Source organism: Homo sapiens, chromosome 3 (genome assembly GCF_000001405.40).
Source record: "Homo sapiens chromosome 3, GRCh38.p14 Primary Assembly".
Taxonomy (NCBI): domain Eukaryota; kingdom Metazoa; phylum Chordata; class Mammalia; order Primates; family Hominidae; genus Homo; species Homo sapiens.
The window spans coordinates 107,383,977-107,401,182 of NC_000003.12; positions in this window are offsets into that span (position 1 = coordinate 107,383,977).

Here is a 17,206-nt window from a genome sequence, read left to right on the forward strand (position 1 = left end):
ATGGAATAGAGGCAAAAACTGTGGGTTTTGCTTCTTCATTTGTTTTTTGGAATACAACCTATTTGGAGGCTAATTTTATTTGTCAGGAACATGAAACTCCAATGTCAGTGGCAGATGGAGTTACTGGAGCAGGGCGATGGTTGTGCAGATGGGACATGTAGGTAAAGGAACGTTGCACTAGTGGGGCTCTTGGGACCAAGATAGGATATGTGAGCTTGTCCTCTCATCTTTCTCCTTTCCCATGCCATTCTTTTCACCTAAAGCTTGAGATGCAAGGATGTGGGGTTTGGGGAGACACATCCTAGACAGAGGCAGAGGTGGGGTGGGGGAAGAACAAGAAGAAGAAAAACGCTTCAATAGGATTAAGAAACAACTGATGTTCTAGTGCAGCCCACTCCTCCCATGCAGAGCAAAGGTACTACACCATGCGTTCCGAAAATGCTAAAAAAGGCAAAAGAAGGCAGTGCTTCCTTAGGTAATTTAATGATATGATCATCCTTTTTCTACCCTTAGTTACATGTTAGCCCTAAGCAATCTGCACAAGCTTCCAGGAATGACTCTCAACAGGACTCTTCCAATCTTTGTTTTTGTCAAAGATTCCACCAATTTTTTTCCCACCTATTTTTAGATCCTACCTTTCTCTCCCACTCTCATCTGCTGTCATAGGAAAAGAATGCATGAAAATGTGGCCAGGTGATCATCTGATTCTGAAGATTTATTCCTAACGTCAGTTGTTTCAGAAGGGGTGTTCTCATCGGCCAATCTCCTGATGAAAGGTGTGACATGTCTTTCAGATTATCAGAAAATCTAAATTTGGATAGTGCTGTCATTTATAGTGACACTTAGTCAACTTACATTTACCAAATATAAAGATAATAATTGCTTGATGTACAGGCTGTAATTCGATCACAGCCATCAGTGACATGACTATTTGTTGTTATAGCAATATAAATGAAATTATGCCTATGGCAGCCTAATTAGAAAAGCACCATCACGACCCAGCTGGCATTTTCAATATGTTATCTAAGAGGTATGATAAGAAGACAAATCAGAGCTGACTTAATGAAGTTTCTGATCAGAGGCTGCTCTGAAGACAATGAGCTATTGAAGGAGACAAAGAGGAACTCATGACTTGCAAATTTATGCAGGCTGTTACAGAACAACAAAACACAACAGAGTTTGCAAGATTCGATCTTGTTGAGAGTGGTAGCAATAGAAATTTTCTTCCTTCTCAACAGCAGGATCCCAATTCATAAAAATTTAACTATGAAAATAAGCTTAAAGATTACTTAGTTCAGTGATATTCAAGTGGGGGTACCCCCAAGGGTCTTTTAAAAATCTCCCAGCAGACATTTGCAAAGTAATCCCTCCCAATACCATGATACACCTATGGGTTGGGGGACATGACGTTGTCTGTACCCCATTTAAGAATCATGACAATAGGACCAGCATAATGTAGGGACTAAGAAGAAGCACCTAGATATTGGATAGGCCAGAATTCATGAGGGCTGTTACTCACTAGATGTGTGACCTTGCTGAATTTCTTAAATCCTCTGAGTTGATTTTCTTATCTCTGAATTAGAGATAATAGAATATAAAGTAAAATTATGTGCTTCAGAAAAACAAATGAGGAAAAACACTTAGCTCATCATCTGGCACATAGTAGGTACTCAATTAATGTTCCATATAACTCTACCACTACTACTACTATTACTACTACTACTGAACAGGCTGGGCAGCTGCTGTCCAGTATGTTGAGGCAGAAAAAAGACTGAGGTCAGAAAACTGGTCCAACCTACTGAGGAGGAACCTGAGATCCAGAGGCAGAAGTGACTTGCCTAAAGTTACCCAGCTTATAGGAGTGTGAACCAGATTCCAGGGCTACAGATGGTGGGTGTTGTGATTTTTAGAACATACTGAATCCTTGGATTCTGACAACTTAAGTAATAATCAGTGAAAATAACCAGGGAAATGCAGTGGCCTAGCAGTCAAAGACAAATTTAGCTGTGCTTCTCTCCCTCTGTGCAGTCTCCCTGATGTTTCATAAAGTATCAAAGTGCATTGATTGAGGATAAGAAATCTGCTATTACTGCAATTCAACCAAACCCCTTTCCCCAGATCATACAGTGCATGTTCCATTACCTTTGAGACTTTGACTTTTCTCACCCCATAATTTGTCAGGCTGGTCTTCTATTATTGATCATTTGATCAGGGATGAGGTGTGAATATTATATGGCAATGTATGTATGTACACACTTATGTAGATTTAGCTATATGCATACATATATGTATATGTGGTATCAAATGTGTGTGTATTATACACACACATCCCAGAGATTTATAATCTTTGATCAATTTTTTTAACCTATTGTCAGTGCTATTGTTCTAGTTACTATAGCTACAGATGAAAAAAAACAATAGTGATAATAAGCACCCACACACACATACTTGTAATAGAAGACTCAGATGGTCCCTGTAAATGTTAATGTACTTTTAGAAAGTTGAAGAGCTGTGAATTATATAGTTTATAAGAGTCTTAAAGGACAAGGATAACTTACTGTGAAGCCTGTCATTCAAGGGAAGAGCAGAGTTTGACAGGAAACATGTATTAATACACTTAATGTAAAACCTAAAACCTAGAGAAGCACTCTAAGCCTGTCTTCTCTTCCTTCTTGCCATCTTCTTTAAAAGAAACAGGATTATTTCTCTTTTCCTATCTCTTTTCCTGGGTTTTTGATAAAGTGTTACTATTTCCACCAGTGGACTTCTCCCTCTTTCTCTCTCTGTCTCTGTTTCTCCCTTCTTCCTCCTTCCACCTCAGTTTTTCTCAGGATGGTGCAGCAGCCCATGGGTTCACACATATAGTCACTTGCCAGCCAAGGTCACTTTCCCCCACTCAGTTTCAGTGTTTACCTTTCCTATTCTTCCTGATTCTACTTCCTGTTATCCCTGCTTCCTGCTCCAACTTCCTCTCGTGGTTTCTTACAGCTACATCCATTTCCCAAATCCCCCTCCCTAGGTCCTGATTTCTGTGTCCAACTCAGGCCGGCAATCATGCTTCGCCTTCTGACTGTCCTCTTGGTATGGCTGCTTCAATGTACCCATCTGATCCTAGACTGTATCTCCATTCTGACTCATTCTTACTTTTTTTCCGTAGAACCGATGGTAATACAGAATAAAATTTTATTGTAGAACTTATTTTGTGTAATAAAGACAATGGAATGTTCCTTGGTCTGAATTTCAAAAGCAAGTGAATAGAACAAGTTATAATTTAGCTAGGGAAGTAACTTTAGCTATAGCTGCTTTTACTTATTATTTTTCCTGTAGCTTCTCAATTGCAAAAAAAAAAAAAAAAATCTCCATCCTGAGAAAATACATGCAAAAGGATTTTAATCCAATTTTCTTATCTTTATTTGCTCTTATATTCTGGTCCCTTTGTAGTTTCAAGCAAATTAATTTGTTTTAATTTGTAATAAGAGATAGGGGATATTTTTGGTTGTTTTTCAGTTCACTGAAAATGGGTTTTAGAATAAGCATGTTTTGAAGGAACACTGAGTCTGTCACCTGCAACAATGAAATGTAAGAAAGTCAAGAATAGCATAAACAAATCATTAGACAAAAATTTCAGATTTTTGGAAATTACTGGATCTGAGATGAGACTGCTTCCCTAGCTCCCCTTATCTCTTGGTTTAAAACAAAAACTTCCTAGGTTTTGAACTTCCACAATTACGAAATCAATTTTACGTATTTATAACTTTGAGAATACTACATGACTACACAGTCTAAAGAAGACTGAAAAAATTGTAAAGATTCAATTCACTCTGACTCATCTAAATGAGGCGAAGAACTAGGTAGTCTCAAATTCATTTCTCTTTCACTTTATTAAAACAAACTCATCTTACAGACAAATGGTATTTTTAATCAGGAGTGAAATTTCCCCAGCCAAGCATTCTGGTCCCTTATTAACTGCAAGTGCAGAATATTTTGAAGGACAGGAAAGACATGCAGGGACATGATGAGCAGGGCTGCTCCAGATCCCCCTGCCTCAGCTTGTTCTGAAGTCCCTGCAGTGGGTGGGGGTCCCAGTTGGCAAAGCCCTGAAACACATCTCCTTCCCAAACTCCTCAATTCTATGTGTTTCTTTTAAACAGGCTTATTTCCAGGACATATATTGGGAAATAACATGAAGAGGATACGTCCTCCTTCCCGTCTGAAAATTAACCATTTTAATCTGCCAAATCAGCCCCAACTCCATGAAATAAATCCCAAATTAAGCAAGGAAGCAATAGTTTCCCACTACTATCATCTTGGATTTATCTCCCCATGTTCTTTGTTAAAAATTAATATTATTTTGGCCAGGCACAGTGGCTCACGGCTGTAACCCCAGCACTTTGGGAGGCCGAGGCAGGTGGATGACTTGAATTCAGGAATTCGAGACCAGCTTGGCCAACACGGTGAAACCCCATCTCTATTAAAAATACAAAAAATTAGCCAGGCATGGTGGCACACACCTGTAATCCCAGCTACTCAGGAGGCTGAGGCAGGAGAATTGCTTGATCCTGGGAGGTGGAGGTTGCAGTGAGCCCAGATTGCTCCATTGCATTCCAGCCTGGGCAACAGAGTGAGGCTCCATCTCAAAATAAATAAATAAATAAATAAATAAATAAATAAAATTATTTTAATGGACAAATCATAATTATATACACATGGGGTACAATATGGTGTTTTGATATATGTAGATGTGTCAGGGTTCTCCAGAGGGACAGAACCAATAGAACATATGCATATATAAAAGGGAGTTAATTAGAATTTGCTCACACGGTTACAAAGTGAAGTCCCTTGACAGGCCGTGTGCAAGCTGGGGAAAGAGAGAAAAACTGGTAGTGGCTCAGTCCAAGTCTAAAAGCCTCAAAACTGGGGAAGCCGAGAGTGCAGGCTGCAGTCTGCAGCCCAAGGCCTGTGAGCCCCAAGGAAACCACTGGTGCAAGTCCCAGAGTCCAAAGGCTGAAGAACCTGGAGTCTGAGGTCCAAGGGTGGGAGGAGCAGAAGCAAGCATCCAGCACAGGAAGAAGAAAGAGAGCCAGAAGACTCAGCAAACAAACTTATCCCACCTTCTCCTGCCTACTTTGTGGGTGCCCACCCACACTGAATATTGGTCTTCATCTCCTTGTTCACCAACTCAAATGTCAGTCTCCTCTGGCAACACCCTCACAGACACACTCAGAAACAATACTTTACCAGACATCCAGGCATCCCTCAATTCAATCAAGTCGACACCTAACATTAGCCATCACAGTATACAACGTAGAATATTAAATTAAGCTAATTGACATATCCACCACCTCGCCTGCTTATCATTTTTTTGTGGTGAGACATTTGAAATTTACTCTAAATTATTTTGAATCACATGTTCTCATGGTAGTTTTGTTTTTTATTTTTTGAAGAACTTACATGCTATTTTCCATAATGCCTGCCCTAATTTATCTTCCCACCCATAAGCTTCTCTTTTCTCCCCATCCTTGCCAACAATTATCTTTTGTCTTTTTGACGATAGCCATTTTAACAGATATAAGGTGATATCTCATTTAATTTTGCATTTCCCAGGTGGTTAGCAATGTTGAACAGTTTTTCATACACCTGTTTGCTATCTGCATGTCTTCTTTTGTGAAATGCCTATTCAGGTCCTTTGCCAATTTTTTTTTTATTCAGGTTATCTGTTTTCTTGCTATTGAGTTGAGTTCCTCACATATTTTGGAAATTACCCTTTGTCAGATGTTCGGTTTGCAAGTATTTTCTCTCTTCCATAGGAATGGGAGACATCTTCACCCATTGATTGTTTCCATTCTCACCATTTTCTTAGATGATTCATTTATTCATTAATTAATGTAACAATAATTGAGAATCTACTATATACCAGGCACCACGCTAAGTTCTTGGTAATAGGTTGGTAAGTAACATAGATATGATTAACTATCCCGAGCTTCCTAGAGAATGGGGTAGAAGCCCGCAGAGCTTTTGTCTCCCTGCGAATTCTTCTTTTTGCTTTTGCAGATGCCACCTGATGTCTTCAACCTCTTTAGAGCTATTTTTATGGGGTGACTCTTGCCTCCTCTGCCTGGGCCCTGGTCATGGCTTGCCATCACCACTACCAAGTGGTTCAATGCTTTTCTCTCCTTGAGAACTACTGTCTCCCCCTGGGTATCCTGTGGCTCCCTATTGTTAAATGACACTGTTGCTTGGGCTACTCAAAGCTATTTCCAACCCTCCTCTATCATGATGCCTCCAACCACAGGGGCTATAGAGTCAGATATATACTCTCTTAGCTTCCTTTTACCCCCCAGCCCAGATGTAAGCAGAGATTCACTGGAGGGAATTCAGGGGAAGCTTGCCTCTTTGATAAAAAGGGACACCTGCAACTGGTAAGCACTTCCAAGTTTCTTCTTCCTGCCTCAAAAGCAAAAGTAAGAGCTACAATTTCAGCACTTACATTGTGAGCATGAGGAGACAAGAGAAGCACAAAGATGCTCACCTTGACATCATTGAGCCACTGAAACAACATCAGCAACCTGTACTTCAGGACTTACTACGATGTGAGAAAAAAACCTCTGTTATTTAACTCCTATCATAAAACCCAATGTAGTTGGGTTTTTTGTTTCTTGCAGCCAAAAGCAAGTCTTACCAACATATTGCCATTGCCATGATCAGAGCCAAAACTGCCTCTGCATCTTAGGGCTTTAGTGAATCATTCTATTTTTGTGCTGCCCAGAACATGGGTGAGAAACTGACCTCACAGTCTTATTTAGTCCTGTTGAAGTCTACAAGCACTTCAGGATTCTTATGGTTATTTGGTGCCTATCAACTTTTATTTTGGTTGTTTGCTTTGAGTCCTAAGCCAAATTGCCTTGTGAAACTGGGTGTGAAAAGTGAGTGCAGCAGTGTGAGAGCAGCAGTGTGTGTAAATACTACACCAGTACTACATACATGGCCACTTTGGCTCTCCCAATCCCCAGGCCAATGCCGTAACATATATGCCAACCCACTTCAAATAGGATTATGGCAACTTATCTACTGAATACTTGGTTAGTATTTGTGGAAGGCATCCACAAATACCCGCCTACATTTTAACTCCCAAGAATATGGACATTAGTTTCAAGCTCTGGAAGCACGTGTGCAAACAATCTCAGATCACTAAGATCATTCATTCTAGAGGAGAATCACATTTATATGAATATATATTCATATATATAATATATTCATTATATATATGAATATATATCATATATATAATATATTCATTATATATGAATATATATAAAATATATTCATAATATGTATAAATATATTCATAAATACATATATATAAATATATTTTTTGAGATGGAGTCTCTATCCCCTAAGCTGGAGTGCAGTGGTGCAATCTCAGCTCACTGCCACCTCCACCTCCTGGGTTCAAGTGATTCTCCTGCCTCAGCCTCCTGAGTAGCTGGGATTACAGGCATGTACCACCACACCCAGCTAAATTTTGTATTTTTAGTAGAGACAGGGTTTCACCATGTTGACCAGGCTGGTCTCAAACTCCTGAGCTCGAGTGATCGACCCACCTCGGTCTCCCAAAGTGCTGGAATTACAGGCATGAGCCACCACCAGGCCTTAAATGAATATTCTAAACTTCACAGTTATTAACTCTTTATTTCCTTCTGTTACCAAATAAAAGTGTTTTCTATCATAGGAGAATCTCTTGATATGTGCTATTAATCCCATCTCCTCCCACTTTCTCAGAAACTTTCTCCTCTAGACAATACCCATTTTCCCCTACATAACTTCAACCTCTCTTTCTCTACTAGACACTTTTCATTATCATCTATACATACTATTGTCTCTCCTGTCTTAAAACATGTATACACAAATTTTACCGAACTACAGATCTCCAACTAAAATTTTATCTGCTCTCCCAGTTACAAAATACATAGCTATAGCTTCAATTTCTACTTCCTTCTACTACTGACTTCTCAGCCCACTCCAAACTGGCTTCTGTTCTTTCCTCTCAGATTCTAGCATTAAGTCGCCAATGATGTGCATGTTGCTAAGTCAATGAAAATATTCATGTCTTTCCTATTTAACCTCTCAGCATCATTTGTAACAGATTTCCACTCCTTCCTTCTAGAATATTCTCTTTCCTTGCTTTCTATCTTTCCACGTCTGTTTACTTCTGTTGTTTTCCCTCTGATTTATTGTTAGTCCTCTTCAGAGACTTCTCCTCGACCCCAACTTTTCACGTAGACCTTTTATCATGACTCAGCCTCGGACCTTCTTCTCTCTCATATTTTCAAACATCACCTCTCATATCTTATGAGATAAGGTGATCTTATCTACTCTCATATCTTCAAATGTCATCTAAAGTCAGTGGTTTTCAAAATTATATCTCCAGCCTAGACTACTCTTCTGAGTGAGAGACTTATAGGTCCAAATGTTTATAGTATTTCCATTTTGGATACTTGGATGTGTTAGAAGAATTTCAAATACAGCATGCCCCAAAATAAATGTATTATATTTAACCATCTTGCCCTAAAACTGCTTCTCCTCTAGAGCTCCCTAACATAATAAGTGGTACCCACATCCTCCCAGATGCTCCAGCCAGAAGCCTGTGATCCAACCATAACCGATATCTCCCTTCATTATCTACCCCCAAAAAATCAGCCACCAAACCTAGTTTACCCCACCTTCTAAATCTATCTGTTTTCCAGTTAACGTCACCATCTTGTCTCAACCAGACTACTCCAGTTACTTTCTGGCTAGTTATCTCTAACCCACTTTTCCTTGCCTCAATCCCATTTTTCACATGGCAGTGAGAGTAATTGTTTAAAATGTAAATCTAATCAAATCACGCCTCTGCTAAAACCATGTAGTGGCTCCTCAGTACTGAGTATTAAATCCAAAATCCTTTGTATTTCCTGAGAAAAACAAGCTCTTTCTTGCCTCCAGCCATTACATGTGCCTCTGCCAGGAATGCTGTTTGCTCCACACTGTGCACAGCTAACTCTTACTCATCTTTCAGGTATGAGTTTAATTACTACTTTCTTTAAAAAAAAATTTCTCCTGATTAGATTAAAAATATGTTAGGTTCCCTATTTATTTTCATGCCACCTTGTGATTTTTCAATTATAGAACTTGTCACCTTAGTAATTAAATACTACTTGTGTGATTCTCCAGTAGGAAGACTCTAACTAAATAATGTAAGCTCCATGAGGGTAGAGACTGGGAATAATTTTCTCACTAAGGTATTCTCAATGGTTATCAGAGAGGAACAGTGAAGCTCAATAAGATTTGTTGGATGTGTAAACTGAATTTTACACACTTCCATCTTTAAGATTTATATTGACTTTCTGTTCTGTTCACAAACATACTTGATTTAACTATGACTACTTAAGTTTTAATTGTGATCATTATTCGATTATGACATATTTATACTTTAGAAGTATTTGATTATGAAAAGGAATAAATTTCTAAAATCTAAAAGAAGTTCTGGATTTTTCTAAGAAGTCCATTTTAGGAACAGAATTTCATTTTTCTTGAAGACTACTAGCCAGTCAATTGTCATGTATTTAAAAAAAGAAAAAAAAAGATAAAATATAAAAAGTCAAAAATCAACTAATTCAGTACAATTGGTGCCTATCAAGGTTTAAAATATAGAACAACATCTCTCACTTTCTTGAGGCATTTTCTAAATTGAACGAAATGTTACTACTAAATCTAGAGCTGTGAGATTAAGTAAGAAAAGAAGTTGAAGAGTGACACTCCAAAAATTTTCTCTAGTAATGTTTTAATACAAGGACCTAAAGGCCACTCTGTGTCCCTGAGGTCCATTATGAATATATGTGGGAATAGAATGATTAACATATAATCAGAGACTATGGGAGAAAAACCCTCCAAAGAGAAAAAAGACTAATGAAGACTTGAATTCTGAGAAAGCCCAAATTCTCAAGGGTTCTGATCTATTGGCATAAGAATATTATGGCAGACAAAAGTAAGAGGAAGTAGTAATTAGAGCAGATTTCTTAACTGCAGCACTCCTGACATTTTGTGCTGGATAATTTTTTGTTACAGGAGGCAATCCTGTGCAATGTAGGATATTTAACAGCATCCCAAGTCTCTGCCCAGTAGGTGCCAACAGTAAACCCACCCGCCAATCCCCAAATAGTAACACTCAAAAGTGCCTCCCATACATTGCCAAATGTACCAGGGTGGGGGTGGGAGGGCAGGTGGGCAAAATTGCCCCTGGTCGAGAGCCATTGAATTGGAAAAAGTCAAATGAATTTGTCAATTCAAAAGTGCAAAAGGACACAGGTTTTCAACCATTTACTGATTTCTTGACTCATATATTTATTCATTCATTCATTTGACCAGACACAGTACTAGGCACGATGTTTCAAATACGAGTACAGCACAGTTTGTGTTAGGAGCTGAAAGTCTATAAAGAGACAAAAAGCCCACTGTCTTAGAATGTATTGTGGATTTGCAGTTATGTGAGGTGTAGGTTTTAATGAGGAATCAAAATTAACCAATAAAGGTCCTAACCTTGCCCGAAATTCATAGTACACCTGGTTATGGTAGATATAGTAAATTGTTATTCAGCATCCAATTCATCTTCCTAGAGTGCCTTCCTGACCTGCACCAGTTGGACTGGTAAAACTACCTTGCCCAGAATCCCTTGCTGCCAGGTTTCTGTTGCATAAGGTTGAATCTACAAGTGAGGAAGAGTCTATCTTCCTGCTGCTTGCTGCTCAGAGGCACAGTCCTGGAAACTCTGGGTTTTCTCCAATTGTGTCCCAATGTCTGGTCTTCAGCTCTGTGGGCATCCAGAGGTAGGTACAGTGGGGATAGTAGTGGTTTCCTGATCCCTGAATGACAGCTATGACACTGTGCTTTTGAACTCAAAACCAAACAGGTCAGTAGTGAACTCTTAAGTCTGCCTCCCTGCTTTGACAGAGGCAGCAGCACTGCTATCTCTGGAACTTATCCTGACACATTCAGCCTTAAACTTCTAGCAGTCTGATGAATATATATAGGCCTGATTCTTTGTATTATAATCCGTCCTACTTAAAATAGATAGAATGAGTTCTGTTTTTTTCTTTTTTTTTTTTCCAAACTGAGCCTTGCAACTGTATACAACAAACTGTAATAGCTCAGCAAATCAACCACACACAGTGCGATCACACACCCCCAGTATGGAAATGGATCACAGTTTCTTCAGTTAAGCACCAGATGAAGAATTTGGCTTTCATTTAGGGGCCATGCTGCATGAAAAATATGTTTGCTTTTGTTTGTGTGTTGTTAAATTGATGCAAGTGAAAATATAAGATTGCACTATAAGTGCAGTGCCAGAGATAAGCACAGGATGCAATATGGAGGTGGTGCACAGTCAAGGAGGATTTTTTAAAGAAGTGATGTCTGAGCTGAGTCTTGAAGTGTGAGTAGGAGTGAGCCAGGAAAATTGCATTTGAGGATGAGAAAAAGGAAAAAGCAGTCTAAGCAGAAGATGTGTATTAGGTACAAAAAGTTGAGAAGGCATAGTATATTTACAAAGGTAAAAATTGTTCAGTGTAGCTGGATTATATGATGAGAGGTAGGGAGTGTGGAGAGGTCATTTGGAAAGCAGAAACAAGATGTAACTTCCACATTTTCTGGAGTCTAAGAGGTCATTGGTTATAAGACACACCACCCATTTTATAAGAGCTTTCAAGGGAAAAATAGAAGCACTACCCTAAATGCCACATTTATTTTAAAACTAATTAAAAATATCATTCATTTATCCATCTAAACTCTTTCTTTTCAATACCTAAATCAGAATTTGCATCCAAACCTTCTTGATAAATAGAAAGAGTATAGAGATCCTTCTAAATCACTTTCAGTCATTTGGCAGTTATATTTAGCTTCTCACCAGTGCCTGTGGTCTTGACTTCTTTTAAGATTGACAGTACATTTCAAACCTTATCAAATTATATTAGAATTTCTTCCTCTGCATTTCCTATTTGGTTAAACTCAGAGGTTTTTTGTTTGTTTGTTTTTTTGCATGATTACCTATTACTATAGGTCAAAGAGCTTCTCTTAAAAGTTAGCTGGATGGCCAGGCATGGTGGCTCACACCTGTAATCCCAGCACTTTGGGAGGCCGAGGCAGGCAGATCACATGAGGTCAGGAGTTCCAGACCAGCCTGGCCAACATGGTGAAACCCCGTCTCTACTAAAAATACAAAAATTAGTGGGTGTGGTAGCGCATGCCTGTAATCCCAGCTACTCAGGATGCTGAGACATGATAATTGCTTGAGCCTGGGAGGAGAAATTGCAATGAGCCAAGATCATGCCACTGCACTCCAGCCTGGGCAAGAGTGAGACTCTGTCTCAAACAAACAAACAAACAAACAAACAAAACACAAGTTAGCTGGCAACTTTAACATTTTGATATTCCGTAACTGAATAAAGGGCCTATATGAATGCAAATTAACCACACTAACTTCTTCCTGCTTTGAAAAGTCTGTGATCTGACGTAAAAGACTTGGCAAGTTCAACACCCTTAAATGCCATTACCTGGTATATGACAGGCAATCATCTATGTATAGATAGAATTTATTTCCATTTCAGTGCTACATCATAAAGATATCTTTTTGCAAAAATTCTAAGCAAAAAATTGGGGATCCAAATTAAATTTAAATTCAACAACTTGTTATCAATGCACAAAGCTCAACTAGAAGTGATAATAGAATGAAGAGATACTCTGATACACAGCTTAGTTCACATATACTCAACAAATAACAACTACCACAACTCCACAACACTCTCCTCTCCTTGGAAACTCTGACTGTAAGAGTTTTCCTGTCTTCAGAAATGGTAAAACGCAAAGAGGGGGGAAAAAAACCACCTCAGGCAAATTGGGGTCTGGAACAAAGTCCAACGTGGGCCCCTTGCATACAACAAAAAAAAAACTTCCCCTCTTTCCCTTCAGACCAGGAGATACCACAAGACTGAGCAGGAAGATTATTTTGGATGAGAGATGGGAGTGGAAAACAAGAAAAAGAAAGCAGAAGTCTTTTGTTTTGATATAAGGGGTGAGTTTATTGAAGCAAACAAGCAAACTTACTACCATACCCAAGGGATACTCAGATATGCAAATAATATGTGGTTTCTTTAATCCCTAAAACATGCCTAATCTTTCTCTGGAACTACCATCCTGCTAAGTAATGGCAGCAATTTAAACTTGTAATTTTATAATATTTTGATTTTCTGGTTAAATTATCTTCACTCATTTTAAACATTCAATCTTCCAACATTTTGTTTCCCTATCCAACTGGCTTAAAAATCTCCTTCAGATGACTCAGTTTTATGTCTTTCAGATTTCTGTTGTACCCCTTTCTTGTCCCTAAAATGACATTTTGAATATAGAGTATGGGGAGGTATGTGGCTCATGTAATCTCCAGACAGCAGGGGCTGAAATTTCCTCTAATCCTTATTGGGTCCTCTGCTTCTCCTTAGGAGGAGATATTCAGCCCCATCTCTGCCCTCTCTAGTGTAATATTTCACACACCCACGTGTAGGCACACACAGGGCTGGCTCTAAACCTTATAGGGGCACAGCTTAAGTTGTCAACCCTGCAGCCCTTGTCTCAAGCTACTTTACCCCCTCCTCCACAGCAACACCCCCACTACACACTGGCAAGCCCTCCAGCCAGCCTCTCGGGGAATTCTAGGTTCCCCATCAAGGATATGAGAAAATACCTACGTCCTAGCCATAACTGAGGAATAGACAGTGGCTTGGGAAATTTCAGTTGTGGAATTTCTTCAGCCAACCTTGCAGAGCTTTTGAATATGTTTTGATGCAGTCACTCCCAATTTGGTGTGGAGTGGCCTGTGAGGCATCTTCTTCCTGAGTTCCACATTCTAGAGAAAGGCAAAAAGCCCCAAGTAGAGGGTGCTTCCTCCATTTCTCTGACACCCTACATCTCTATTGTCCAAGCCAAAGCATGGAAAGGGATGATTAGTCTCACTCTTCAAGACACAAGAGGAGTAAGTTGGGAGTGGAGAAATATGATGAGTTCAACTGTAGGTATTCTTCTGAGTGTGAAATGTCTGTGGTACATCAAAGAGGAGATGTTCATTGGGCACTTTGATATGTGGGTCTGGAGTTTAGACAGGGATTGAGGCTAGTAAAACAGATTTGAGAATCTTTGCAATATTAATGATAGTCAAAGTCATGAGAGTGGATGAGCTCACTCCCCCCAAAAAGTGTCTAAATTAAAAAGAGAAGAGGAATGAAAAGGAGACCTGGTTACATCAACATTTAAAGAATGCACAGAGAAAAAGGAGCAAAGATTGAAAATAAATGTCCATGGAAGTGAAGAGATAGAGAAAAAAAGGAGAATCAATGTCATAGAATTATAAAGTAAGGCATCTACTTTTTATTTATTATTTATTTTATTACTTGATTTTTTTTTAATTTTAAAAAGCTAACATAAGTATATGCTTTATATTATTCCCCCTTGTGGGGTGTTGGGGACCAAGGACCTGGAGCCAGTTTCATTCAGACTTTTCATCTGCTAACCTGATCTAAGTTTTCAAGATCCACTCTTCTGTGGGTGGTGAAAACTGGGGGAAGGAGGGACTTCTTCACACAGTGAGTTGGACAGAAGCTGGGTTTCAGCAAAGGCTTGCACAGGGATGCGCAATAACACTCCTGCTGGACAGTCACCAGGCAAAGTCGTAGCATGGCCAAGGGAAGTCCTCACTGGGCTCCAATGGGAAAGGCAACTAGCAGAGTCCCTGGGTGCGAGGACACTGACCTCACTCTCCAGAAGCCCTTGGACGCTTGACAATGCCTCTCACAGTGGTCCTCCTCTGAGACAGTCCTCATTGCTGGCTGGATTGGCCCTTTCTGGTCCAGCCATTTTCTTCTCATCCCTGTAACTTCTCTGCCCATTTCTTCAGTCTCTCTGCCTCTCCAATATAGATTTAGGAAGATGTTTTTCCTTTGAGCAGTCACGGGAAGAAAGCACTGCTCTCACCTGTGATGTTTCCCCAAGGAACCGTAGGGTTTTTTAGACCAAAACCAGGAAGATATTTTTGGTTTCTCTTTCCACCTTGTCATGTCCTTCCCCTGAGGCAATGAGCCCAAAGAACCTAGTTGCTTGAATTAGGAAGTGGGAGGGGATGTCAAAGGAGATGAAAGGGAAGAAAAATGTTCTATCAGTAGAAAAACATAATTTACTATATAAAATATTACACTGACACGAAAAAAAGCTGGATAGTGTTAAAAAGATGACTTGGATATAGTGCAATAAGAATACTATTTGCCTAATGGGATAAAGTGACAAAGGCCAATAGACAGTGGTGTAGACTAGGACCTTACTTTCCTTCTGAAGGAGAAGTTAAGAGAAATAGATAGGGGTAGTAAGTATTAAATTCTTACTGAGGTAGATTTTTCCAGGGCCTAAGTCACCCCTCTACACCCAAAATAAATTTGTTATTTTGGACTGGACATTGACTCTTTCTGAGCTTCATGGTACCATTTAGAATTCAGATTTGTATTATGATAATCAAGAGTCAGGTCATAGATGGAAATGTTTTATCAGCCAGTATTGACCAGTTTCATATCGTTGGTTCAAACAAATGTGGCTGTTGATTAGTCCATTGAACCTTTTTCCCATCCTCAGGTTCAGGTGGAATAACTGACCAGGCCATAGGCCCACCATTGAAAAGGGTAAAAGTGGCACCTAACAATGATATGTCCAACTCTGACCTCATCCTTCACCACACCCCAAGGTTCTAGACTCCTTATAAAGAGAGATTAGGGAATGATTCAAGTTCTTCTTACATATCACCATCTATGTATTTTTGAAACCTTGCTTTCCTACTTTAATCATAGGTTTTTGGTCAGTGATACTTTTTTACATAGCATTGCTTTGTATTTCAAAACAAATATTAGAAATAATCATCTATATCCCAGAGAAAATATTCTAAAATACAGAAATGGGAGGCAAATATAATCTTCTGAGTATAGTCCTCTTAATTAGAAGCAAATGTGGTGTAACGGTAGGAACATTGACTCTGGAGCCAGGTCTCATGGACTAACATCACAACGTCACTAGCTAGATAACTTTGGGCCTAAGATATATCCTCTCTGTGCCTCAATTTTCTCATCTGAAAATTTCAAAAATAATCTTGGCATTATGCACTAAAGCTTTTAGGACACTGCCTGCCACATACTAAACACTCAATAAATGTTAAATATTGACTACTATTTTACACTTTTCAAAAGTTTCAGTTTGCTACTTAACTTTTTGCCTTATCATTTTCCTTAAGGCCCATCTTTAATGCCAAAGATAATAATTAAGTCATTGATAATGATGATAATGCAAGTGATGACAATGAGTTCACCATAAGTCTAAAGAGAGGTTTTTGGTCTAGAGTATCTTGGAAACCTTGGAAAGATATTATTACAGAATCTGTCCTCTACTCTGACAGAGACAAAACTTCAACTCTCAATAGCCAATTTGATTCACATTGTAATTTGCTCAAACAATCTTACTACATAATATAGTTTACTCTCAAAATGTTCATTTCAGTGGCTGTAGGAATATATAATTTGTCATAAGACCTATTATTTTCATGTATTTTCATAACAAGATAGGGAATCAATTCATCCAACTAATTCAGTAAAAAATTCATTACAGTTAAAAAATGGGAATTAGTATTAGTGTGGCATCATCAAACCTTTTTTTTAAAAAAATAGGTTTTCTGACAATGTCAGAGGGGAGTAAAAATGGACGAGATCATTGAGTCCAAGGTTAGAGATTATGGTCAGGGTGCTACTTTAATGAAATTTCTTATTATAAATGAAAACAGAATATAGGATTTTTTAACACAGAGGAATAACCACTCTGACACTTTAGCCCAAAAGGCTAAAGAGAAATATCTTTAATATTAACCTAATATTGTGACCTCATTATACCTTAGTCAGTGTAATCCTTAGCCATTAGCTGAGATATAGATTTTTGTACATGAAGGTGTTGTTCTCTCTGTGAAAAAAAAAATGACTGTAGAAACATTTCAAACATTTCAAATAATTTATTATAAAAGCTTTCTGGTGAAACTGTGGGGTAGTGGTAAGAATGTGGAGGTAGGGAGAATGCTATTTTTAAGACTCTAAAATGACTTTCT